The sequence below is a fragment of the Homo sapiens genome, chromosome 15, assembly GCF_000001405.40.
Source record: "Homo sapiens chromosome 15, GRCh38.p14 Primary Assembly".
In the NCBI taxonomy this organism is placed as follows: Eukaryota; Metazoa; Chordata; class Mammalia; order Primates; family Hominidae; genus Homo; species Homo sapiens.
In genome coordinates, this window is record NC_000015.10 from 59,633,794 (window position 1) to 59,658,771 (window position 24,978).

Genomic DNA, 24,978 nt, shown 5'->3' on the forward strand with positions numbered 1-24,978 from the left:
ATGCAAAAAATAGATGAATATTCATCAAATTAGAGAAGATTTTAGGATGGACTGACAAAAGCTACAAATTAATTCTGGAGGCTCCCTAAGGAGATGGCAAATAATCATCCAGAGCAGCTGAAACTGTTATGAGACCTTACTATCCATGTTGTGTTACTATCATGGCTTGTACAGGACCAACATGCCATGATAGTAAGACAACATGGACAAAGAAAACAAGCCTCAAATATAATATTTTAGGCTAAGTGCTGCACATTGCAGGCATTGATTTAAAAAAATCTTAGAATTGGCCGGGGATGGTGGCTCATGCCTGTAATTCCAGCACTTTGGGAGGCCGAGGCGGGCGGATCATCTAAGGTCAGGAGTTCAAGACCAGCCTGACCAACATGGTGAAACCTTGTCTCTACTAAAAACAACAAAATTAGCCAGGCGTGGTGGCACATGCCTGTAATCCCAGCTACTTGGGAGGCTGAGGCAGGCGAATTGCTTGAACTCGGGAGGCAGAGGTTGCAGTGAGTTGAGATCACACCATTGCATTCCAGCCTGGGTGACAGAGAGAAACCCCTGTCTGAAAAAAAAAAAAAAAAATCTTATAATTTTATTTTTTTGAGATGGGATTCTCGCTCTGTCACCCAGGCTGAAGTGCAGTGGTGCCATCTTGGCTCACTGGAACCTCTTGGGTTGAAGCGATTTTTGTGCCTCAGCCTCCCAAGTAGCTGGGATTACAGGTGCCCACCCAGCTAATTTTTCGTATTTTTAGTAGAGACAGGGTTTCACCATGTTGGCCAGGCTGGTCTTGAACTCCTGACCTCAAGTGATCCACCCGCGTTGGCCTCCCAAAGTGCTGAGATTACAGACGTGAGCCACCGTGCCCGGCTGAAAATTTTAAACATATATTCAAATAACAAGATGGGTATAATGAATTTCATTTACCTATTAACTGAGCTTCAACAACTATCAATGCATGGTCCATTCTGTGTTACTGAAATCCATCGCCCTGCCCAATTATTTTTGAAGTGCTAAATGCCATTTCATTAAAAATTTTAGTAGTAAGCATTGATTTTTAATCCATTGAGTTCTCATTTAACTGCATATAGTGTGCATGTAGGTGAGTAGTAGTAGCGACTTATTTATTTTATTATTTTTTGAGACGGAGTCTTGCTCTGTCACCCAGACTGGAGTACAGTGGCGCGATCTCAGCTCACTGCAAACTCCGCCTCTTGGGTTCAAGCGATTTGCTTGCCTCAGCCTCCTGAATAGCTGGGATTACAGGTGCATGCCACCACGCCTAGTTAATTTTTGTATTTTTAGTAGAGACGGGGTTTCACCATGTTGGTCAGGCTGGTCTCGATCTCCTGACCTCGTGATCCACCCACCTCAGCCTCCCAAAGTGCTGGGATTACAGGAGTGAGCCACTGTGCTGGGCTAGCAGGGACTTATTTAAAGGTGCTTAAATAACTAACAATGCTATAAATGGCAGCTTTTATTTTCATGTAGTCTAGTTTTATAATTTGGGGGGTTTTACACTCAGCTTTCCTCCTGATTGGATTTTTGGTCCTGGAAAGGTGAATCCGTGTCTGGGTGTTAATTTTCCTGTGCACTGAAAGAGGAGGTTGAAGTCATTAGATCATCGTTGAGGTTCCATTCAGCTTTGAAAGGTTCTGATCTGTGAACCTCATCATGTGACCATGGGTTGGCATCTTGGCCAGTAAGTTCTGACAAATATTCATATGTATGTTAACCTGAACTCCAGGCTCTGAGTTTTCATTGGAATTTGAATTTCCCTGATCTGGGATTTGTCATTCCCATAATTACATCCCTAAACCAGTCTGATTTTAACTTCTGCCTGGATACTCTTATTTTCCTGCATATTGCAGCTTTGTTTCATGTATCTCCCATCCTCAAAGACCACTAAAGGCCTTTTGAGAATTTCCCTGCCCAGCTTTCAAGGCCTCCTGTAATCTGCTCTCATGCTACAAAATCAACTGTATTTTCCACTTGAATCCAAATTTCATAACTAATGCTACAAATTGCTACCCCAGTTGATCCATATATATCATTTTAAATATAAGTAACTTAAAAATTTTCAGAATTTTACAATTAGTGTAAATTTGTGACCCATTCAAAACTGAAGGCAACAAATCAGTGTGTTGCGAGTGACTGATAACCTACTGAAACACTTTTTTTCTCCCCAGTTGGCTGAATGTAAATCATAATAAGCCAATCAGTCACCAGTCTGGCATTAAGCCCAAGGAAGAGGCTATTCTTTGTCCACTCCTTGGGTGTTAAAATAGCAAATAGCTGTGAATCTAGAGGACTGACTCTACACTATCACAAAAAGCCCAGCTTTCTTTTCACTCAATCTTGACAGTAGGTGAATTAATGGATTTCTTCTTCTTCCACGTTAATAGGCAACTAAGATTCTTTAAGTTCCAGGGTACGTGTGCAGGATGTACAGATTTGTTACATAGGTAAACATAAGTCATGGTGGTTTGCTGCACCTATCAACCTATCACCTAGGAATTCAGCCCAGCATGCATTAGCTGTTTTTCCTAATGTGCTCCCTCCTGCTACCCCACCCCGTGACATGCCCCAGTGTGTTGTTCCCCTTTCTTTGTCCATGTGTTCATTGTTAAGTTCCCACTTATGAGAACATGTGATGTTTGGTTTTCTGTACCTGTTTGCTGAGGATAATGGCTTCCAGGTCCATCCATGTCCCTTCAAAGGATATAATCTTGTTCCTTTTTATGGTTGCATGATATTCCATGGTGGGTATGTGCCACATTTTCTTTATCCAGTCTATCATTGATGGGCATTTGGGTTGATTCCATGTCTTTGCTATTGTGAATTATGCTGCAGTGAACATACGTGCATGTGTCTGTGTAATAAAATGATTTATATTCCTTTGGGTATATACGCAGTAATGGGATTGCTGGGTCAAATGGTATTTCTGGTTCTAGATCTTTGAGGAATCAGCAGGGAACTAAGACTCTTATCACTGAAACCTGTGGCCAGCTGGGAGGGCACAAAGTGATACATGCACTTGCTGTGACCCTTTTAATTCCAGTGGTTTGAGTAACACTATGGTAATATTGGAAGACACGCCACAGTGCAAGTGTCAGTCATGTGATGTGTATGCGATCATTAGAAGTGACAGGAGGAAATGCCAGGCTTTGACTTCTGCACCTCCGCCCAGGCAAATGCAGAGGTATGTATGGTGTATTTACGGTGGCTAAGCTAAATATGAAAACTGGTTTTAATGGATGAAATGTAAAAACTCTAGGTGTATTCCATACTGGTTACCTAAATGAGTACTCTAGCATCTATTATAACTGACTCAACTTCAGTCAGCCTGAAATACCTGTCCCATCACAGAAATGGTCTCCCACTAAATAATGCTGAGCAAAGCTCTAGGTACAGAGCACTTCACAGTACAGAGCTATGTTTGAAGTTTGGGCTGGGCGCGGTGGCTCATGCCTGTAATCCCAGCACTTTGGGAGGCCGAGGCGGGTGGATTACCTGAGCTCAGGAGTTCTAGACCAGCCTGGGCAACACGGTGAAAACCCGTCTCTACTAAAATACAATAAACCAGTCAGTCATGGTGGCATGTGCCTGTAATCCCAGCTACTCGGGAGGCTGAGACAGGAGAATCTCTTGAACCTGGGAGGCGGAGGTTGCAGTGAGCCAAGATCGTGCCACTGCACTCCAGCCTGGGTGACAGAACAAGACTCCATCTCAAAAAGGGAAAAGTCCGGGTTGAAGTGCATATTCTACTCCAATAGCAGTTTTCTAGTCTGTGCGCCTGGCATACTTGAGTTTAGTAAGCATTTGTGAAAATACTATTCAAATGTTAGCTGTAATACAAAATAAACATACCTGAATGATTATCCTGCCCTCTTTTGGGAGGAAACATGTATTACTGCCTCTGTTCTCAAAAAGGTTTATATTCTGTCCTTGATTGTTTTTTCATGTACCTAGAGCTTTGCTCAGCATTATTTAGTGGGAGACCATTTCTGTGATGGGACAGGTATTTCAGGCTGACTGAAGTTGAGTCAGTTATAATAGATGCTAGAGTACTCATTTAGGTAACCAGTATGGAATACACCTAGAGTTTTTACATTTCATCCATTAAAACCAGTTTTCATATTTAGCTTAGCCACCATAAATACACCATACATACCTCTGCATTTGCCTGGTATGCATTTGACTATGTAATAGGTAGTAGTGGAGGTTAGGAAGGGAACATGGAAATACATGCATAGAATGAATTGGAAGATGAAACAATTTTATTTTCTTTGTAGGGACAGTCTATATTGGCCAGGCTGGTCTCCAACTCCTGGACTCAAGTAATCCTCCAGTCTCAGCCTCCTAAAGTACTGGGATTACTTACAGGTGTGAGCCACCAGTACCTAGCCAAAGTTAGTTTTAATGTGAGAGTCAAGGACTACAGTGGCATGCTGAGGTAACAACTGCAGGAGCATCGAGGTAACAGCAAAAATCTTTTACTCCAATTGGGTCAATCCAGTTAACCATGTAAGAAACTCCTCACCTAGGGTCAGTATGTTACTTCTGTATTTCTGCAAGCACAATCCACTGACATAAAAGTCTAATAATTAGACTTTATTGTAAGTCTAATGTATCTTGTACATGATAAAATGTATGAACTTTGGATCAATATGGCAAGCTGAAGACACCTGTCATGTGGGGGGACTATTTTGTTTGGGTTTTTTTCCCCCTTCCTCATGTTACCTGGTCTAAGAAGGAAAGTTTTTTGGTTTTGTTTTTGCTATGATTGTCTAACTTTTCCTAATCAAGTTGTACTTGGGTTTTTTTATACCAATGATTAACTTTGGTTTTGTATTTTAAAAAGCAAGGGATTTTCTTAAAAAATTCCATCCAGAGTTTGGTTTTGCCCCTGCTGATGCTTTCATCAGGTAAAGTTACAACTGACAAAACATGACTTTATTGAAATAAGCATTCTGAAAGGGCATCATGTTCCTTGCAAAGGAAATGGGAAAATGCATTATCTAATATCTTCATATTGCTACCTTAATAGCTTCACCAGTTATTACTCAGAGTTTTAAAATGAGTTTATTAAAGAAGGTTCTTAGGAAGGCAACAACTTTTGTCCTTAAAAAAAAGTTATGGTTTTTCATGCTGTATAATAAAGGTGATGTAAGAGGCTACAGAGTTACAAGTTTCTTTCTACTGGAATTCTCTGGTATAGCACAGTGTAGTCATTTCTGCAATTCTAGAATAAATAAAAAGTCTCTTCTATGCTTCTCTTCAAAAGCAATGAATAACAGAAGATGGTGTAAAAAAGTCATATTTTTTCTATTCATTCTGTAGTATTGGAGCCAGTATCTAGGAAACAAAAGAGAAAGTAAAGTAAAGTAAATTCAAGGAGCAATTTAATTTTACAATTAACTATTTTAAGACTATCAAAAATGAGAACACAGGACTAATAGTGGTGGTGGCTTGCAGGGTGGGGAAGAACAGGAGGAAAGGTGACACTGTAAATATGTTGAACTTCAGTAAGTTTCCTTTTAAGCAGAGATACAAAGATGCTTAGCTCCTCATATTCATACTAGAGTAAAACTAAGTTGAACTACATTTGGTTCACATAATTGTTACATAACCTTTCTTCCCCCAGGTCCTTTACTGTCCCAAATTTTTTTTTTTTTTTTGAGATGGAGTCTAGCTGTTGCCCAGGCTGGAGTGCAGTGGCGTGATCTTGGCTCACTGCAGGCTCTGCCCCCCGGGGGTTCACGCCATTCTCCTGCCTCAGCCTCCCGAGTAGCTGGGACTACAGGTGCCCGCCACCTCGCCCAGCTAATTTTTTGTACTTTAGAGACGGGGTTTCACCATGTTAGCCAGGATGGTCTCGATCTCCTGACCTCGTGATCTGCCCGCCTCGGCATCCCAAAGTGCTGGCATTAGAGGTGTGAGCCACCGTGCCTGGCAATTTTTTTTTAAAGACAGAGTCACACTGTGTTGCCCAGGCTGGAGTGCAGTAGCGCAATCTCAGCTCACTGCAATCTCCACCTCTCGGGTTTAAGCAATTGTCCTGCCTCAGCCTCCGCAGCAGCTGGGATTACAGGCGGGTACCACCATGCCTGGCTAATTTTTGTATTTTTAGTAGAGATGGAGTTTCACCATGTTGGCCAGGCTGCTCTCAAACTCCTGGCCTCAAGTGATCTACCCAACTTGGCCTCCCAAAGTGCTGGGATTACAGGCGTGAGCCACTGCACCTGGCCTACTGTCCCAAACTTCTAACACTGCATTCTTTTCTGCAGATATAAAGTAAATGGAATACAATTTAAGCTTTCCTTGAGTCAACAATCTTCTCACTAAAGATCAATTACTACACCGTGCTGAAGTGTGAGGGAAAATCCTCAAAAACTACTGCAATAAACAAGGCCAATCTGCTACTTCTCATCCACTGAAGTTTGGAAAACAATCTTGTATAGTAAAGAGAAACACACTCTAAGGACTACCAGACAGGAGCTCCTATCAGTAAAATACGTATCTTTACATGGATTCTTTGATATTATACACCAGTATTTATTCTGTTCAGAGGCTTTATTTACTGATTTTCTGGTTCTCAGCTATGGTTCAAATGTATGGTTCAAATGACTGAAACTGACACTCTACTAGTCTACATCTGTTCTGTCCAATATGGTAACCACTGGCTAGCCATATGTGGCTAAATTCAAATTAATAAAATTAAAACATTGAGTTAAGTTCCTCAGCTGCCCATACCCACATTTCAAGTACAACAGCCATGAGTGGCTATTGGAAAATGCAACAGAACATGTCCGTGCTAAAAAAAAGTTCTAAGCAGTACTGGTGTATGTCATTAATTCATTTTGATAGAGATCTAGGTATTATAAATTAATCCCTGAATTCTACAGACTAATAAAAATAAATATAACAAGGGTTACGAGGATGCTGTTACCTTAAATATGAAAAAAATTGTACACAATTTCAAATATAGAAATGTTATCTTGTGATTCAGGAAACAGCACCACCTTCACAGGAATTTAAAAAAGACCCAAATATTGTTCCTTGCTGTAATGACAAAGATGTATCTAATGACTATAATAAAAAGTTAACTATGCCCAAAGTTCTTAGAATGATTATTCCTAGGTAACCTTCTGAACTATAACAAGTCCCCAACAATAACGCTGCTAGGTTCAGAGACTTTCTGATATCTGGAAGAGACTATTTCTTTAAAAAGGGCTTAAGGTGTAATTTTATATAGCTACTAAAAATCAGGCTTAAGTGCAGGGGCTCACGCCTGTAATCCCAGCACTCTGGGAGAAGGAGGTGGGAAGGTCACCTGAGCCCAGGAGTTTAAGACCAGCCTGGGCAATACAGCAAGACTCTTTTTTTTTTTTTTTTTTTAAGGCTTAAGAGTAGTAAACTCAAAAATACATTTACTAATGTCTACATATACATACATTTTTGCAAAAAAAAGTTATAACACCATCAGGTAGTGTTACAGAGAACGTTTTTCTTCCATGTGCTTTTTTGTATTCTCTACATTTTTTCAGTGATTGATTGATTAGCTATTTCTTTGGAAATGCAAAATATATAAAACAAATCCGACTCAAACAGGGAAATGGAGGGGGTTACTTTCTACATATCTTTCTCTTGCTTTTCAAAACTCCCTGTGTCAAAGAGCAGCAGTCTTTTCTATTTACTTTCTGGAATAGCTGCTCTTAACACAAATGGTTCAGATTATGAAGTATATTTAAAATAATATAATTAGCAAAAAGGAAATAAACTAATCATGAAACAGAAATTAGGTGTATAGTTTTTGAAACATTTAAGGACCTGAAGAAGTTCCTAGGTCTGGTGTGAAAAGTTCACTTGCACATGTCATATTTAACAGATTAGATGAATATTTACCATCATGACTCCAAAGTTCTTATGGCTAATTAAAATCCTGTTTAAAATAACTCTTTAAATATATGGGTCTCCAGCAACATAGAAACCATAGGATTGTAAAAATTATTCCTTAAAGTAAAAGGTGTCTGAAAAGCCTGATAAACACTTAAAATTTGTAATGGAAATAGGGAACAAATGCTTATTAATTTGCTTATTTTACCCACACAAATCCAACCTGTGTAAGCAGTCTATATGTTATTAAGTCACAAAGTAAGAGCACTGTTTGAGATATGTAATCAGAATTTAGTGGAGATAAAAGCCTGGGCTTATCTGGGAATTGATCATAGGGCCATTTTACCCGTTAGGCTTTTCATATGGATGCAGATCTTCTAAAGGCTCATAAAAACAAGGTTTCAAGTAGCTTTCACAGAAATAAGGCAAGCACTTACTTTTACCATCACAGGCTACAATTTTCACTTTATCCACTTTAATAAGTTCTGTCACCTCTCTGAATTCAACATCATTCAGTACAAAAGTCCACACATTATCGCAGAATCTGTACGTATTTAGAGAGCCCTTTAAAACAAAACATTTAGAAATACCGTGAAACGTTTTTTCCCCTCACATTTTTCTCCAAAGCAATTTAAGAGATCTTAGCTACCAAGAACATAATAAGTTTAATGCTTAGCTTAAGATTTTCCTTAACTTTAATCCTAGCTATTAAAAAAACAACCACCAGACAAATTTGCTAAGGGAAGATTTCAAAAATATTTTAGTTGGCAGACTGTATTTTTAGTCTGCATTGCAAATTACTTACCTGAAATATGAAGAAAAAATAAAAACTTGCGTTTGTATTTCTATTGCCCTCATGTGGCTAAGTTATGAAAGTTCATTCAAATTATGGAAATATTTGTTAAAAGTTACATATTTTATTGTGTATGTTAATTCTCCAAATGTACAAAAGCAGGGATTTCTTAGAAACACTAAATTTTAATCCTGTGACTTGGCTCAGATGCATTACTGCATCGGTCACTAAGACTACAACATTCATTGTCTTGTGCAACTTATAATTTTTTATACGTTTTCATTTTATTTTTTTGAGATGGAGTCTTGCTCTGTTGCCACGCTGGAGTGCAGTGGTGCGATCTTGGCTCACTGCAACCTCCACCTCCCAGGTTCAAGAGATTCTCCTACCTCAGCCTCCCAAGTAGCTGGGACTACAGGTGCCTGCCACCACGCCCAGCTAGTTTTTTTATTTTTAGCAGAGATGGTGTTTCACCATGTTGGCCAGGATGGTCTCGAACTCTGACCTCAGGTGATCCACCCACCTCAGCCTCCCAAAGTGCTGGGATTACCAGTGTGAACCACCGCGCCTGGCCTATATAATTTTTTTTTTTTTTTTTTTTTTTTTGAGACAGAGTCTCACTCTGTTGCCCAGGCTGCAGTGCAGTGGTGAGATCTTGGATCACTGCAACCTCCGCCACCCAAGTTCAAGCTATTCTCCTGCCTCAGCCTCCTGAGTAGCTGGGATTGCAGGTGTATGCCACCACGCCTAGCTAACTTTTGTATTTTTAGTAGAGACAGGGTTTCACCACGTTAGCCAGGCTGGTCTCAAACTCCTGACCTCAGATGATCTGCCCGCCGTGGCCTCCCAAAGTGCTGGGATTACAGGCATGAATCACTGCACCAGCCTATTTTAATATTTAAAAAGAAATAGAGACAGGGTCTTGTTATGTTGGCCGGGCTAGTCAAACTTTTGGCCTCAAGCAATCCTCCCGCCTCAGCCTCCCAAAGTGCTGAGATTACAGGCGTGAGCCACCATGCCCAGGACACATTCTTATAATTAAGAAAAAAAAATTGTTTAAAGTAGGAATATATATATACTTGAGCATCAAAAGGAAATTTTTACTTTTTTTTTTTTTTTTTTTGGAGATGGAGTCTCACTCTGTGGCCCAGGCTGGAGGGCAGGGGTGTAATCTCAGCTCACTGCAACCTCCACTTCCTGGGTTCTAGCTATTCTCCTGTCTCAGCCTCCAGAGTAGCTGGGACTACAGGGCGTAGGCCACCATGCCTGTCTAATTTTTATATTTTTAGTAGAGATGGGTTTCACCATGTTGTCCAGGCTGGTCTCAAACTCCTGACCTCAGGTGATCTGCCCACCTTGGCCTCCCAAAGTTTTGGAATTACAGGCGTGAGCCATAGCACCCAGCCTATTTTTATTTTTTTGAGATAGAGTCTCACTCTGTTGCCCAGGCTGGAGTGCAGTGCTGTGATCTTGACCAACTGCAACCTCTGTCTCCCAGGTTCAAGTGATTCTCCTGCCTCAGCCTCCCAAGTAGCTGGGATTACAGGCGTCTGCCACCATGTCAGACTTATTTTTGTATTTTTAGTAGAGGCGGGGTTTTGCCATGTTGGCCAGGCTCGTCTTAAACTTCTGACCTCAGGTGATCTGCCCACCTCGGCCTCCCAAAGTGCTGGGATTACATGTGTGAGCCACCGTGCCCGGCCGGAAATTTTTAAAAAGAATGTGATGAAAGTCGTGCATAGACACCAACAGAATACAATTAAAACCTGAGATATACACATGCACACATATAGTCACATAGGAAATTTAGTAGGCAACACTTAAATGCCTAAAATCTTCAACTCAGAAACCACCAAGCATGAAAATGCTGCTTGCAATATTATTGTAATAGCAAAAATGGGATTCATTCTAAATAGTCTATCAAGTGAGAATGACTAAGGAAAGTGATAGCTATGAATGAATGAATATAATAAATGAGTAATTACTGTGTGCTAGACTATGCTGGCCTCTGAGGATACAATGGTAAGCACAGCTCCCTGCCACTGGTGAGCTGAGTTTAGCAGGGAGATCATTAAAACAGGTAAATACGTAGTATAACAGTGCTATGAAAGAGTAAGTTACTGGGTACAATGAGAGTACAGCAAAGGCACTCAAGAGTATGGAGGACACAAGGCAGAGAGCTTCTCTCAAAAAGTGAAGTTTAAGTTGAGTCCTAAAGAATAAGTAAGAGTCAATGGAGAGGAGGGATAATGGAAAGGAAGACAAACACTTGGAATGGGGTGGTTGATTCCAGAAAACAGAACGTGTCAGGAGGTCCTAAGATAAAGGAGAACCTTGGAAAACCTTTGCCCCATCCTAACGGTACTGGGAAGTCAGTGAAGGATCTTAAGCATAAGAGTCTGATCAGATTTGCATTTTTGGTGATGACATAATGGGTTAGACAGGAGTATGACTAAAGGAAGTAAGACCAACTATGAAGCTGATGTCTGTTAGCTGGGTGAATCAGAGAGGTGAAAGTGGCTTTACTACAGTAATAGTATAGTAAAGGGATCAATAGAAATGGAGAGACTTTTAAAGTAGGACCGGTAGGAATGGACAACTATAAATATGGTGGGGTTGGGGGACAGAGAAATCCACGGTAACTCCCAAGTTTCTGACTTGAATGTCAATGCATTCACAGAAAAAGCTGGTTGGGGAGTAAAGTTAAATTTGGAACTTGTTGAATTTCAGGTATATCTAAGTCATGATGTCCAATAAGTAATTGGAGTATAGGAGAAAGCATGTGATTATGATATTCAGTTTAACCAAAGCCAGAGGGTTGGATGAGACCAAGGACAGCGGACGCACGCTGTAACCCTAAGAAATACCAACAATTAAATGATAAGCAGAGACAGAACTACAGAGGAGTCTGAGAGCAACAGGCCAGGGAATACGAGAAAAGCTCACACAGTATGGTTTCAAGGGAAATAGGGGTTCAAAAAAACAATCATCAATAGCACTACAAATGATGCATTAGATTTAGCAAAAGTAACTCGGCAACAGCAATTTCAGTGGAGTGATAAATATACTGAAAGTCACCCATGACGTTAAGGGAAAAAGACACAAAATTGTAAGCCTATAAAATATATTTAAAAATTAGATCTCCTCGTTTGCTACAGTCTGAACCTCTGGAAAGCTAAACAGCTAGATGCCAAACTCAACGTTCATTTCCAGCATCCTGAAGTTGTGTGTAATCCACGATCTTAAGAGTGTGTATATTACTGGCCGGGTGTGGTGGCTCACACCTGTAATCCCAGCACTTCGGGATGCTGAGGTGGGAGGGTCACTGAGGTGAGGAGTTCAAGACCAGCCTGGCCAACATAGTGAAACCCCGTCTCTACGTAAATATAAAAATTAGACGGGCATGATGGTGGGTGCCTGTAATCCCAGCTACTCGGGAGGCTGAGGCTGGAGAATCGCTTGAACCCAGGAGGCGGGGGTCACAGTGAGGCGAGATCACACCATTGCACTCCAGCTTGAGTGACAGAGTAAGGCTCCGCCTTAAAAAAAAAAAAAAAAGTGTGTATATTACTTTTTTTGTTTTGAGACAGAGTCTTGCTGTGTTGCCCAGGATGGAGCACAGTGGTGTGATCTTGGCTCACTGCAACCTCCACCACCTGGGTTCAAGTGATTCTCCTGCCTTGGCTTCCCAAATAGCTGGGACTACAGGAATGCGCCACCACACCCAGCTAATTTTTGTATTTTTAGTAGACACGGGTTTTACCATATTGGTCAGGCTGGTCTTGAACTCCTGACCTCAAGTGGTCTGCCTGCCTTGGCCTCCCAAAGTGCTGGGATTACAGGCATGAACCACTGTACCTTGCCTTACTTTCTCTTTTAAAAAATGTGTAGTCTTTTATCCCTCGCCACCCTCCCACCCTTTCCCCAAAGTTCCCAAAGTCATATCATTCTTATGCCTTTGTGTCCTCATAGCTTAGCTTGCAGTAAATTACTTTCATTGGATAATGTTATGTAAATAATTTAAACAAAGCAAGTCCTTGGGATTTATGAGCCAGTATGTGAGTATTCACTTTCAAATATAAAGCATTTTAGATGTAGATTGGAGTGAAAAATCTTACATATCATATGCTGAAATTCCATTAGTTGCAGTATAAATGTATATGCTTCATTTATTTTACCACAAAAATAAAATGCTACAAAACTTGACTGAAAGATATTAAAGTATATTAAATGCCTTCCAACTGTAAATGAAAATTGACAATTAACATCATCAAAGTGCACATTAGCTACGTAACTTCTGAGCCAACAAATGTTTTTAAAAAGGTAAACGTAAGAAATAATATAATCTTTTTAGAATAATTTGAATTAGAATCTCTAACATGAAATAAGCTTTTCTGTATATAATTTTTACTTATTTAAATATCTTGCTTTTTCACTGATTTGAAAGTCAGAATCCATTTAGTATCTTAAGTATAGTATAAAAACGATGTTTATATATATGTATATACTATATATACATATACTCTATAATTATATAATTACAAACATAATATATACATGTCTTTCATATTATATAATTTATATGCGTTTATACATATTTACATACATATAGTTTTTTTGAAGCAGGGTCTAGCTGTGTCACCCAGGCTGAAATGCAATGGCATGATCATGGCTCACTGCAGCCACAACCTCCTGGGCTCAAGCTGCCCTCTCACCTCAGCCTCCCCAGCAGCTGGGACTATGGGCACACACCATCACACCCAGCTACTTTGTTTGTTTTGTTTGTTTGTAGGGACAGGGTTTCACTATATTTCGCAGACTGCTCTTGAACTCCTGCCCTCAAGTGATCCTCCCACCTTGGCCTCCCAAGGTGCTGGGATTACAGGCTTGAGCTGCAGTGCCAGATAATTATACTTTTCAAAGTGTAATTTTAGATTTATTCTTTAAATTCAAAAAGTTTCTTCTATAAGATATTTAGCTTTGGTCAAATATTACTTTTAACACTTAATCATTTGGCCAAATTGTATCTTCAATGCACTTTTAATAAATACATTTTTGGTTTTACATGTATCCACAATGGGGCAACATGTTTTTGTATTTTTTTTAAGATACAGTCTCACTCTGTGGCCCAAGCTAGAGTGCAGTGGCGCGATCTTGGCTCACTGCAACCTCCGCCTCCTGGATTCAAGCGATTCTCCCGCCTCAGCCTTCCAAGTAGCTGGGACTACAGGCATGCACCACCATGCCCAGCTCATTTTAGTAAAGATGAGGTTTCACTGTGTTGGCCAGTCTGGTCTCAAATTCCTGACCTCAAGTGATCTGCCCACCTTGACCTCCCAAAGTGCTGGGGTTACAGGCATGAGCCACTGTACCCAGCCTAAAAGAACATCTTAAAAGTTATATAATAAATGTTTGTTACAGAAACATCAAAAAACAGGGAAAAGGAAACTTTCAGTTTTGTTAGAAGGGCTATTTTTCTTGATCACTAAATCTTATTTTTGGGGGGTGTGGCATTAAATCTTTTAACGCTTGTTAATTACTGTTCGAGGCTCAACACTATAAAGTAACCATTACTTTTATCTATGGGCATATGTTCTCCCAAAACCATACAATGGCTCTTTAAAAGCCTAGTTATGGCCGGGTGCGGTACCTCACGCCTGTAATTCCAGCACTTTGGGAGGCCGAGGCGGGCGGATCATGAGGTCAGGAGTTCGAGACCAGCCTGGCCAACATAGTGAAATCCCATCTCTTACTAAAAATACAAAAATTAGCTGGGCGTTGTGGCGTGTGCCTGTAATCCCAGCTATTCAGGAGGCTGAGACAGAAGAATCGCTTGAACCCAGGAGGCAGAGGTTGCAGTGAGCCGAGATTGCGCCACTGCATTCCAGCCTGGGTAACAGACTTCGTCTCAAAAAAAAAAAAAAAAAAGAATAAATAAATAAATAAAAGCCTAGCCTAGTTACAAATACTACTTCAATCTGAATTTTCTCCCTAAAAATTAAGTTCAAGCTCCATGGTACATATGAGTTTTTTACTAATAAATTAAAACATATAAATGATTAAAACCTTAGCTCTCATACTTAAGAGGATTTTCTCCTATAACACTCTACTAAATAATTTCACTTATATTGAACCCATAAAAGGATTTAAAACAAAAAACAGGCCGGGCGCAGTGGCTCAAGCCTGTAATCCCAGCACTTTGGGAGGTCGAGGTGGGCAGATCACGAGGTCAGGAGATAGAGACCATCCTGGCAAATACGGTGAAACCCCCTCTCTACTAAAAATACAAAAAATTAGCCAGGCGTGGTGGCGGGCACCTGTAGTCCCAGCTACTCGGGGGGCTGAGGCAGGAGAATGGCGTGAACCCGGGAGGCGGAGCTTGCAGTGAGCCAAGATCTCGCCACTGCACTCCAGCCTGGGCGACAGAGCAAGACTCTGTCTCAAAAAACAAAAACAAAAACAAACAAAAAAAACTATAAAACAATTTAACATGCTATATAGGATTATTCTATTCTTGTAAAGGATGCTTACTCATTGCTAGGTCAGCAAATTATACATAAAAAATATATACCTAAATTTGATCTAGCAAAATGGCTCTGAAAATTAGGTATTTCTAACACATTATCTTTTGTCTTGGCCATATGCTACACTAAGCTAAACAGAATGTTATTTGCAAACATTCTGGATTTAAAATTGATCAAGTTGGCTGTAACCCAGGAGTAGGGTGATAAAAAGCGTGAGTTAGAATAGTAGCAGCAGGAAAATAAAAAGCAAGAATGGAAAAGTTCTGATCAAGGCTGAGAGCAATTATTTATAGCTTTTCGAAAATAGACAAACTCACAAAACACTATGCAAGATAAATGTAAATGTCAAATTACTTTAACTCTAGCTAAAGAAATCCAAACTAGAAACCTACAATAATGCACCTAGAGGATGACTAGTTAGGCCTTGTGAACTATCTTGCCTCTGATAAGTAGTCCACCAAATTTCTTATTAGAGCAAAATTTATGTATTAACATGGATCATCTGGGCAGACTTCTGCATATGGGTATATAAAAAAACACAAACTAATTTTGGCAGAATCATTACTGTTAAAAATTCATGGATCCACTGGTCAAATTATACAGTCTTGAAGGCATATTTTACTCCAGATAATTTTTTGGCACATGAAACTGATATATGAGACTTATTTATATTAATATAAAATACATGGAGATTTTATCCTTCACTAAAATTTAAGTCAAATGGGGCTTTGTCTATCTTGTTCATCTCTGAGTATCTAGAACATGCCTGGTATGTTATCTTTTCATCTCTGTGTATCTAGAGCATGCCTGGTATGTTAACAGACACTCAAATTGTTTACTGAATGTTTAAGTACCAAATGAAGTAGGCAGATGTTAACTAATGATCAAATTTTGGTTGTAACCATATTTTAACCTTCTTTTGACTATATTTCTACAGGTTATGCCTTATAATACAATATAAACATAAAGTTAGATAAATAATAAGCAAACATCATCATATATTATATGACTCCATCAATACCATAATGTGGTAAAATTATTTCTGTTGCACCATGACTCTTTCAATGGGCACTTAATCTGAAGTTATCAGGAAATTGAGAGAGATAATTTTATTCAGCTTTGGATGACTACTGTTCAAAGTATAAGTGACTGAAGTGAGACCAAGCTACCAGAATAGACTGTTATCTACCATTAGAGATCAGGTTTTTATCAGCCAAGTTACCTAAGAGTCGGAGGGAGGCAACATGAAGTTTCTAGAAATAACTCTACTTCCCTGGAACGGGGAAAGGCCAGACTTTGAAAACCATAACAGAACCTTGGGGATTACTCCGCCACTTACCTTTAATCCTGCAGATAATATTTCAGGTGTTTGGAATCTCAGTAACTCTTCAGGGAAGGTAGCCAAACATACAAAGGCTGATTTGTGAAACAATGAAATAAAAATCTAAAAACATCTCTGTATCTCACATTAAGTGGATCAACTTAGTTTATAGTTGATTGAAAAGTATAATTTAGTTACTATAAAACAAGTTCCAAAAATTGACTAAGCCACCTCTTCCTCTTATGATTAATAAATATGTAGGGGTCCTAAAAAAAAATCAGTGTTTTAACAACCATTGGTACAGGCTTCTAGATTCAGGAAAATATCCTTACCCTGAAATTGACTCTGTTCCTGACCCTCTGAGCCAGTGCTGCATTTATAGCCTTATCAAACTGAAGTAGAACTTGAAGGGCAAGTTGGGGGGTGATCTGTTGAGACTGAGAAAAGGTAAAGGTCATAAATCCCGTTAAGGAAGAACATTAAAGACAAAGTAAATAAAAATATACAAATTATCATCTAAAATTTAACTGAGGTTAACCAAAGCCTCTAAACTAGAATTCCTTTATCTCCTTTGCCATAACTGATGATGAAGCACCAAGCTTGAAGACATCTTTTGTACTATCTTGACACAAACAATCTTGAAGAGAAAACATGCAGTGATGTTACAAAGCCAGAACAAAACTTTGTCAATTTTCCCTTACAGTGGCTGGAAAGGAGAAGATAGACAAAGAGGTGTTTCTTTTAAATACACAGGGCCTATATTAACAAACAAAAAACCTATTAAATTTTATTGAATCTCATAAAATATACCAACAAATGGAAATACTTAATATGTTTTTTTTTTTTTTCCTTTTTTGTGAGACGGAGTTTCGCTCTTGTTCCCCAGGCTGGAGTGCAATGGCGCAATCTTAGCTCACCACAACCTCTGCCTCCCGCATTCAAGCGATTCTCCTGCCTCAGCCTCCCAAGTAGCTGGGATTACAGATGTGTGCCACCACACCCAGCTAATTTTATATTTTTAGTAGAGACAGGGTTTCTCCATGTTGGTCAGGCTGGTCTCTAACTCTTGACCTTGGGTGATCCGCCTGCCTCGGCCTCCCAAAGTGCTGGGATTACAGTCATGAGCCATGGTGCCCAGCTGGAAATACTTAATATGTTTTTATTTGGGAGAATTATACAGAAGGGTTAATTCTCTTAAAATTGAAATATAAATTCAGACTTGTAAATCTCAGAAGACTTAAATTGGACAAAACTATCTTAAAGCTAAAAAGTATATGACTTTCTTCCCTAAATTTGAGAAGGGGGAAACCAACAATCTCAATTTTTATGTTGAACAAAAATTTTTGAAGATTTAACTTTATTTATTTAGAGGCAGGATGTTGCTCTGTCACCAAGGCTGGAGTACAGTGGTACCATCATAGTGCACTTAAGCCTCAAACTCCTGGGTTCAAGCCATCCTCTCACCTCAGCCTCCCGAGTAACTGGGACTATAGGCATGCGCCCACACCGAACTAATTTTTTTATTTTTTGTGGAGATGGGTGGTGCTATGTTGCTTAAGCTGGTCTCAAACTTCTGGCCTCAAGCGATCCTTCCACCTTGTCCTCCTAAAGTGCTGGGATTAGAGGCATGAAACACTGCATGTACCCAGATTTAGCTATATTTAATGATATCATTCAATCATGTTTTGTGTCCTGTTGTCAGGACAGTGTAATAAACAAGAATTTGAGGTAATTTAATCAGTGTTACTGACTTGCTGGGTCAAATAGTCCAAGATATTTTACCTCATATCTCTTTGCCTAAGTGATATGACAAGAATTACTGTAAACCCATCAAGATAAAAATGTTTGATTTTTAATTCAGTCTCCCACCTGTATGAGCTCATCTAGGCTCTCCTGAAGACTGTTTCCCAAAGTAGTATTTCTGTATAACTGATATGCCATGGCTTAGGAGGAAGAATTTGTTTTTCTTATTCAAGCTTGCATTGATGTCCTAAAAATTTAATATAAAATTGTTAAAAAAGATCATACTGTAACATCATAAATTATGTATATAATATCATCTACCTCAAATATTCTAATATAGAACTAGGAGAACGCTTAGTGGTTGCACATTACTAGATAATCATTTTAGAATTACAAGGAATTGCTACAAATGATTTTCCAGTTTTTTTCCCCATGATTTTGACATGGGCATTTATACTCCTTTATGCAGTATAGCTGTTATATTTATTAAAATGTCTTTACCATTTCCTTCAAATGTCTGCCTTCTGACTTAGTCTAGAATTTTCCATGTACTGTCCTTTCTACCTGCTGTCAAGTCACTGGTAAAATCTTCAGCTCATGTTTGCATGTCTGCCCCTTTATTTTCCTGTTCTCTCTAAATTCAGTATTTACAGAGTGCCTACCAAGAGAATGGCACTGTGACAGGTTCCAGAGAGAAGATGATGATTAAAGGCATGCTCCCAATCCTAAAAATTTATACTCTAGAGAATGTAACAAACATACAAAAAGATAAGAACTGGGATAAAGATACAAAGCATACCATGGAGGCTGCCTGTAGAAGTGAGCTGGCTCAGAAAAGCTTCCAGGTTCTTTAAGCTAGACTTTAGCCAAGCAGAGGAGGGAAGTCATTCCAGAGGCTGACAGAATAGAATAAGTAAAGCCATGGAAGGATGAAATGTTTGTGGGGAAAAACATAAACTGTTCTACATTATCAGGGCATAAGTACGAATAGGGAGTGGCAGGAGATGAAGCTGAAAGAGACAGCATAGATGGAGTTGTTTGGCAGGATAGGTGCAAGCAGTGGGGAGTCACTGAAGAATTTTAGGCAGGAAAGGTCAGACAGCTGGGCTTCAGTGCGTGATTTAGAAACAGATGAGGGATGGGGGCTCGAAAAGGGTGGCAGCAGTACACAGTCAATAAATATTTACTGAGCTTCCACTACACGTCAGGTGTAAGATCTTGACCTCATGGCCCTTTCAGTCTGGAGATGGATGGGGGAAAATACATTTGAGGAGCAATCATCAGATAAAACTCAGCAAAAATAATGGCCAGCCATCAGTCCTTACATTTCACACCTTGCTAGCACTGGATTCAACAGATCATTTCTGCCTTCTTGAAACATTTCTTTGGCTTTGAGACAGCATTCTCAGTTCTCATGTCACTGGATACCATTGTATTTTTTATTTTCTTTTGCTGGTTCCTCCTCAGCTCCCTGACTTGTAACTGTTGAACTGCCCTAAGTTTTCTTGGGTCCTCTATTTTCCACATACTTTACTCTCTTAGTTACCTCATCCAGACTTACGGCTTTAAATACCATCTACTATCTGGTGATGACTCTCAAATTTGTATCTCCAGCCCTCAATTCTCCCTTTGTACCCATATATAAAACTGCCTGCTTGACACTGGATAAAAATATCAAGTAGGTAGCTCAAATTCAATTTGTCAAAAACCATGTTTCTGATGCTACTCTTGCAAATATGCTCTGTCCTCAGTCTTACCCACCTCGGTAACAGTAAACATAGTCTTCCTGTAACAGCTCAAAAACCTGAGTCAAGAGTAACTTCTCTTTTTCTTACCTGGCATCCAATCCATCAGCCAACCTTTCAGCTCGTCCTTCTAACTATAGCCAGAATCTGACAGCTTCTACCATCTTCAATGCTATTACCCTAAGTCACCATCATCTGTCACTAAAGTTAATGTGATAACTCATGGTCTCCTTATTTCCAGTCTTGCCTATCCCAACCCCACCCTCATAGTAGCCACACTAAGACTTTAAAACATAAGGCAAATCACATCACTGGTCTATTCAAAACCACCAATGGCAGCATCCCATCTCAGTGAAAACCACAGAGTCCATGGCTTGGAAGGCCTATGTGATTTGGGCCCCCCAGTGCCTACTTCCCTATCTTCGCCCACTCACCCTCTCACTCTGCTCTGGTCATACTGGTCCCCTGCTGTTCTTTGACAGGGGAAGCATGATCCTGCTTGAGGGCCTTTGTGGTGGCTCTTCTTTTTGCTGACAGTATTCTTTCCAAATACCTGCATAGTTCACTCTCTCATTTGATTCAGATCTCTGGGTCAAGCATTACTCCATCAGAAAGGCCTTCTATAATCAACCTATAAGAAAGAATTACCTTCCTTCTTCCTCACACTGCTTTATTTTCATTCATACCAATAACTGAAGCTAACATATATATGCTTATTCTGTCTCCATCTACTAAAATAGATGACACACTGAAGACAGGGACTTCTGTTCATTTACATATTTACCAACTAGAACAACGTATGTAGTATCTATTAAGTATCTGTTGAGTGAAATACTTGGTAGTATGTTAAAGTGCTAATATATTAGAAATGTATCTGAGTATGACACAAAGTATTACACTTCACTGAGGAAACTGCAGCAATAACTTCCAGACTCACAGCCACATCCAGCTACCTACCAATAGCTATACAGGTTGAACATTCCTTATCTGAAATGCTTGGGACCTGAAGTCTTTTGGATTTTAGAATATCTGCATCGTATATACTTAGTGATTGAGTACCCCAAATTCAAGCTCTGAAATGCTCCAAAGAGCATTTCCTTTCAGTGTCATGTTGGTGCTCAAAGTTTTGGATTTTGGAGCATTTTGAATTTGGGATGCCCAACCTGTACCCATATACTCTCCCTCCCTGTCACTATAGTTGAACTCTATACCTATTTTTATCTAAATCCAATCCTTCTACCTTTGTATCAGGCATTGTCTTCTAATTCACTCAAGGATATTGTTCTGACAATTCAGTTGTTACTTCTCTCCCTCACCATCAAATTTTCCCTCTCTGCGGATCATTTCCATTAGCAAACACATAGGTGGCTACTTCTCCCACCTTAAAAAGTAAAACAAAACAAAAACCCCTCAACCCAAATCCCCTGCCAGCTACATCCTATTTCTCAGTTCCCCTTTGCAGCAAAATCCCTTAGTTTTGTCTGTATTCACTGTCTCCCAATTCCTTTTTTCCTATTTTCTCTTAAGCTAATTTTTGCCTCTAGCACTCTAAGGAAACAGGTTGGTGAAGGTCATCAATGGCAATGCTAAAGCTAATTCTCTAGCCTCACTCAGAATATTGGACACAGCTGATTACTCCCTCCTCTTTCGTACAGGATCTTACCTTGGCTTCTGGGACACTGCCCTTTTCGGATTGTCCTAACTCACAAGTTCATCCTTCTTAATACTGTTTGCTGGTTGATCCCGTTTTCGCTAAACTCTTAATATCACAGGACACAGTCCTTAGGCCTCTGCTGCTTTCCGTCTACACCCATTCCTTACGGATAACATTTATTCTCATGGTTTAAGTACCACTGCTGATGATCCCCAAATTCATATAGCATAGAACTTCTCACTCCTGAATCTAGCTGCCTACTCAACATCTCTATTTGTTATCTTTTGCATCGTGGCTTAAAGAACTCCATACTTCTACGAGCTTGGGCAAAACCTTTGATTTCATCCTCCACTCCCTCTATCTCACTCTCCATATCCAATTCCTAGCAAATACTGTAAGGCCTACCTTCAAAATGCATTCAGAATCCAACCACTTCTCACCATCCCTACGGTTATCACCCTGACCTGGGCCACTCTCGTCATCTGGATTACTGCAAAAATCTCCTAAATGATTTCCCTGCTTCTACACTCACCCCTACACTCTAATCACAACTCACAGCCAGGGTGATCTTCTAAAACTTCAGTTACAACATACCTCTCCTCTATTCAAAATCTCCCATGGCTTCTATCAGCCTTTACAATGATCCGGCTACCATGATCTCTTTGACTTTATCTTCTTGTCCCTCCACCCCCAAAACTCTTGCTCATCCCTCTCCAGATACACTGGCTTCCTTGCTATTCCTCAAACATGACAGGCCTAAAAGCATTTGTATTGGCTTTCCTATCTGCCTGAATGCTCTTCCTGATATTTACTTAGCAAATTTTCTTAATTCCTTCAAGTCTTTGCTCAAATAACACCTACTAAATGAGGCTCAAACTGACCACCGTCATCTTTAAAATACCAGTTCCCACCTCCACTCTGGAACTTTCCCGTACTCCTTTATATTTCTCTTTTTTTTTTTGATGGCACCATCACTTTCTAACACCATTATATATTTTATTTTCTGCATCCTCTAATAGAATGTAAGCTCCATGAGGGCAAAGCTTTTTATTTTGTTCACTTAAGTAAAATAGGCGTCTAGAACAGTACCTGGCACACAATAGGAGCCAAAAAAAAATCTGTTCAGTAAACGAAGGCAAATATCAGTAAGTATAATATGCGTGTGGGAGGGGAGAGGGGGTTAAAAAGGGCAAGAAGTCCCAATAGGTAGATAAAAACTCCACAGAGTAGGAATACAGAATCGTGCATCGTGTCCCATTTGACAAATTTTTGAGTTTATCTAGAAAATAGCCCTGCGTTAAACGTTTGTTAAAAGTGCTGATTTCAATGTTCTTACATTCTTTAAAAATTCCTTGTTAAGTGTTCTAATCTTTTAGATGTGGTATCAGCCACAGAAATTTATTGTTCCCTTCTTGTTTTGCAGTTCAGAAAATTAGAAGTCAAATTCGGAAGTAACTCGTCCTAGCATTTTTTGATTAAACCACCAAGTTTAAAATTCGTTCCTTTTGTCGGAGTTCGCACGAAGAAAGTTGGAAGGCAGACTTCAAACAACAAGCTACAAAGCACAGGAATGAGACATTTAAAAAATGCTCTCCGAAATTCGGCAAAACTCACAGGGCGCTAGTGGATGCTTTAAGACATTCACCTGGCTGAAAATACGGTGGTGGGCTGAAGACCTCCCCTAGGTGGGTTCTGTGGGCGCCCCGTGAACGACGAGCCTCCCGCCACGGGACGCGACCATCACCGCCGCCTCGCCGCCCTTCTCCGGTGCCGGCCGCGGGGCCTTGCCGGCAACGGTCGGTAACGGGCAGATCCCAGGAGCGAAGGGCCCTCAGAGACTACCCCACCAACGCACTCCGACTCCGGGGGGGCGGCAGGGAGCGCGGCCCTGCTTCCCTCCCTAACCCTGCCCTCCCTAACCCACTACCTGTGGGGAAGGCGCTTCCCTCCGCGGAGCGGACAGAAGCCGCCACGAGCCCGGCAGGAGGTTCCTACTTCTCCGACCACCTCTCCAGCCGCCGCAGAAACCGCAGAACTGAGCTGACGACCCGGAAGTGCTCGCGGAACCTGGAAGTGACACCCCGCCCGAGGGACGGGAGGCCCCGCCCAGCCCTGCTCTCGCCCGCCACTCAAGCCTTGTCAGGGAAGGGCGTGGAGAGGGAAGGAGGGGCGTCGGGCTGGAGCTTGAAGCCTTAAAGTGGTGGACAGGCGCTCTGCTCGAGTAATTCACCAGGTTTACTAAATCGTTCCTAAGGGAATTATAATTTTTAGAGACTAATCTTCTCCATTGTTAGATGCACAATTTAAGAAATGTAGGGCATTCATATTTCATGCCGGAAGTGTGTTCAGGGTAACAGTGTTGAAGACCTTGCAGACGAATTCTGAAAAGATTATAGCAGGGGCCGGGCGCGGTGGCGCACGCCTTAATCCCAGCACTTTGGGAGGCTGAGGCGGGTCGATCACCGGAGGTCAGGAGTTCGCGACCAGCATAATATGGTGAAATCCTGTCTCTACTAAATACAAAAAATTAGGCAGGCGTGGTGGCGCATGCCTGTAATTCGAGCTACTTGGGAGGCTGAGACAGGAGAATGGCTTGTACCTGGGAGGCGGAGGTTGCAGTCAGCTGAGATCGCGCCATTGCACTCCAGCCTGGGAAACAAGAGCGAAACTCCGTCTCAAAAAAAAAAAAAAAAAAAAAAATTATAGCAGGGTAAGCAGGGTATCTTCTTTACCCCTCGAAACAGGGCTGCAGGCAAAGTTTTTAGTTTGTGACCAGTTCATGAAGAACTTTAATTTGGGAGAAGTTATATTTAAAATTTGCATCTAATATGCAAGATAAATACTTCACTATAAATTTCAAGTTTGCAAAATCACAAATTGTTTTAGGTGTCAGGGTGCATGGTACACTAACTGGCTTAAACCCAGCAGTCATGTGTAGAGCAGTTTATCCTACAAAATAGCTGAATAGTGATTAAAGAGTATGTGCAAAACAACAACAACAAAACCACAAAAAACACCAAGTGGTATCAGCTGGAACCTCTGAGCAGGTCTATGAACTAAACAAGTTCTTCTTATTTAAGCCATGTTTTCGGCCAGGGGCGGTGGCTCATGCCTGTAATCCCAGCACTTTGGGAGGCCGAGGTGAGCGAATCACCTGAGGTCAGGAATTCGAGACCAGCCTCAACGTGGAGAAACCCCGTCTCTACTAAAATACAAAAAAAATTTCGCTGGGCGTGTTGGTGCATGCCTGTAATCCCAGCTACTCGGGAGGCGGAGGCAGGAGAATTGCTTGA

The 24,978-nt window shown here is 40.5% G+C and overlaps 1 protein-coding gene across 3 annotated transcripts, besides 1 other annotated feature; it reads right to left on the reverse strand.

Moving 5' to 3' along the window:
• Positions 1-4,268: 4,268 nt before the first annotated feature.
• GTF2A2 (general transcription factor IIA subunit 2) lies at positions 4,269-23,722 on the reverse strand. 3 transcript variants are annotated; one of them, NM_001320930.2, is made up of 6 exons: positions 23,613-23,722; positions 23,022-23,240; positions 18,413-18,533; positions 16,876-16,980; positions 8,343-8,469; positions 4,269-5,364 (listed from the first exon to the last, which is right to left on the reverse strand). In NM_001320930.2, exons 3-6 carry the CDS (start codon positions 18,482-18,484, stop codon positions 5,339-5,341), a joined length of 330 nt encoding a protein of 109 aa, NP_001307859.1. In that variant the 5' UTR covers positions 18,485-18,533; positions 23,022-23,240; positions 23,613-23,722; the 3' UTR covers positions 4,269-5,338. The 3 variants fall into 3 exon arrangements, with proteins under 3 accessions (NP_001307859.1, NP_004483.1, NP_001307858.1); NM_004492.3 differs by lacking the exon at positions 23,022-23,240; NM_001320929.2 differs by lacking the exons at positions 23,022-23,240; positions 23,613-23,722 and adding an exon at positions 23,331-23,512.
• Positions 23,529-23,758: an enhancer, noted in NCBI's record as "active region_9499". NCBI's record gives its function as "activates an Ori minimal core promoter by ATAC-STARR-seq in GM12878 lymphoblastoid cells {active_cell/tissue: GM12878}" and the evidence as "EXISTENCE:reporter gene assay evidence [ECO:0000049][PMID:35858748]".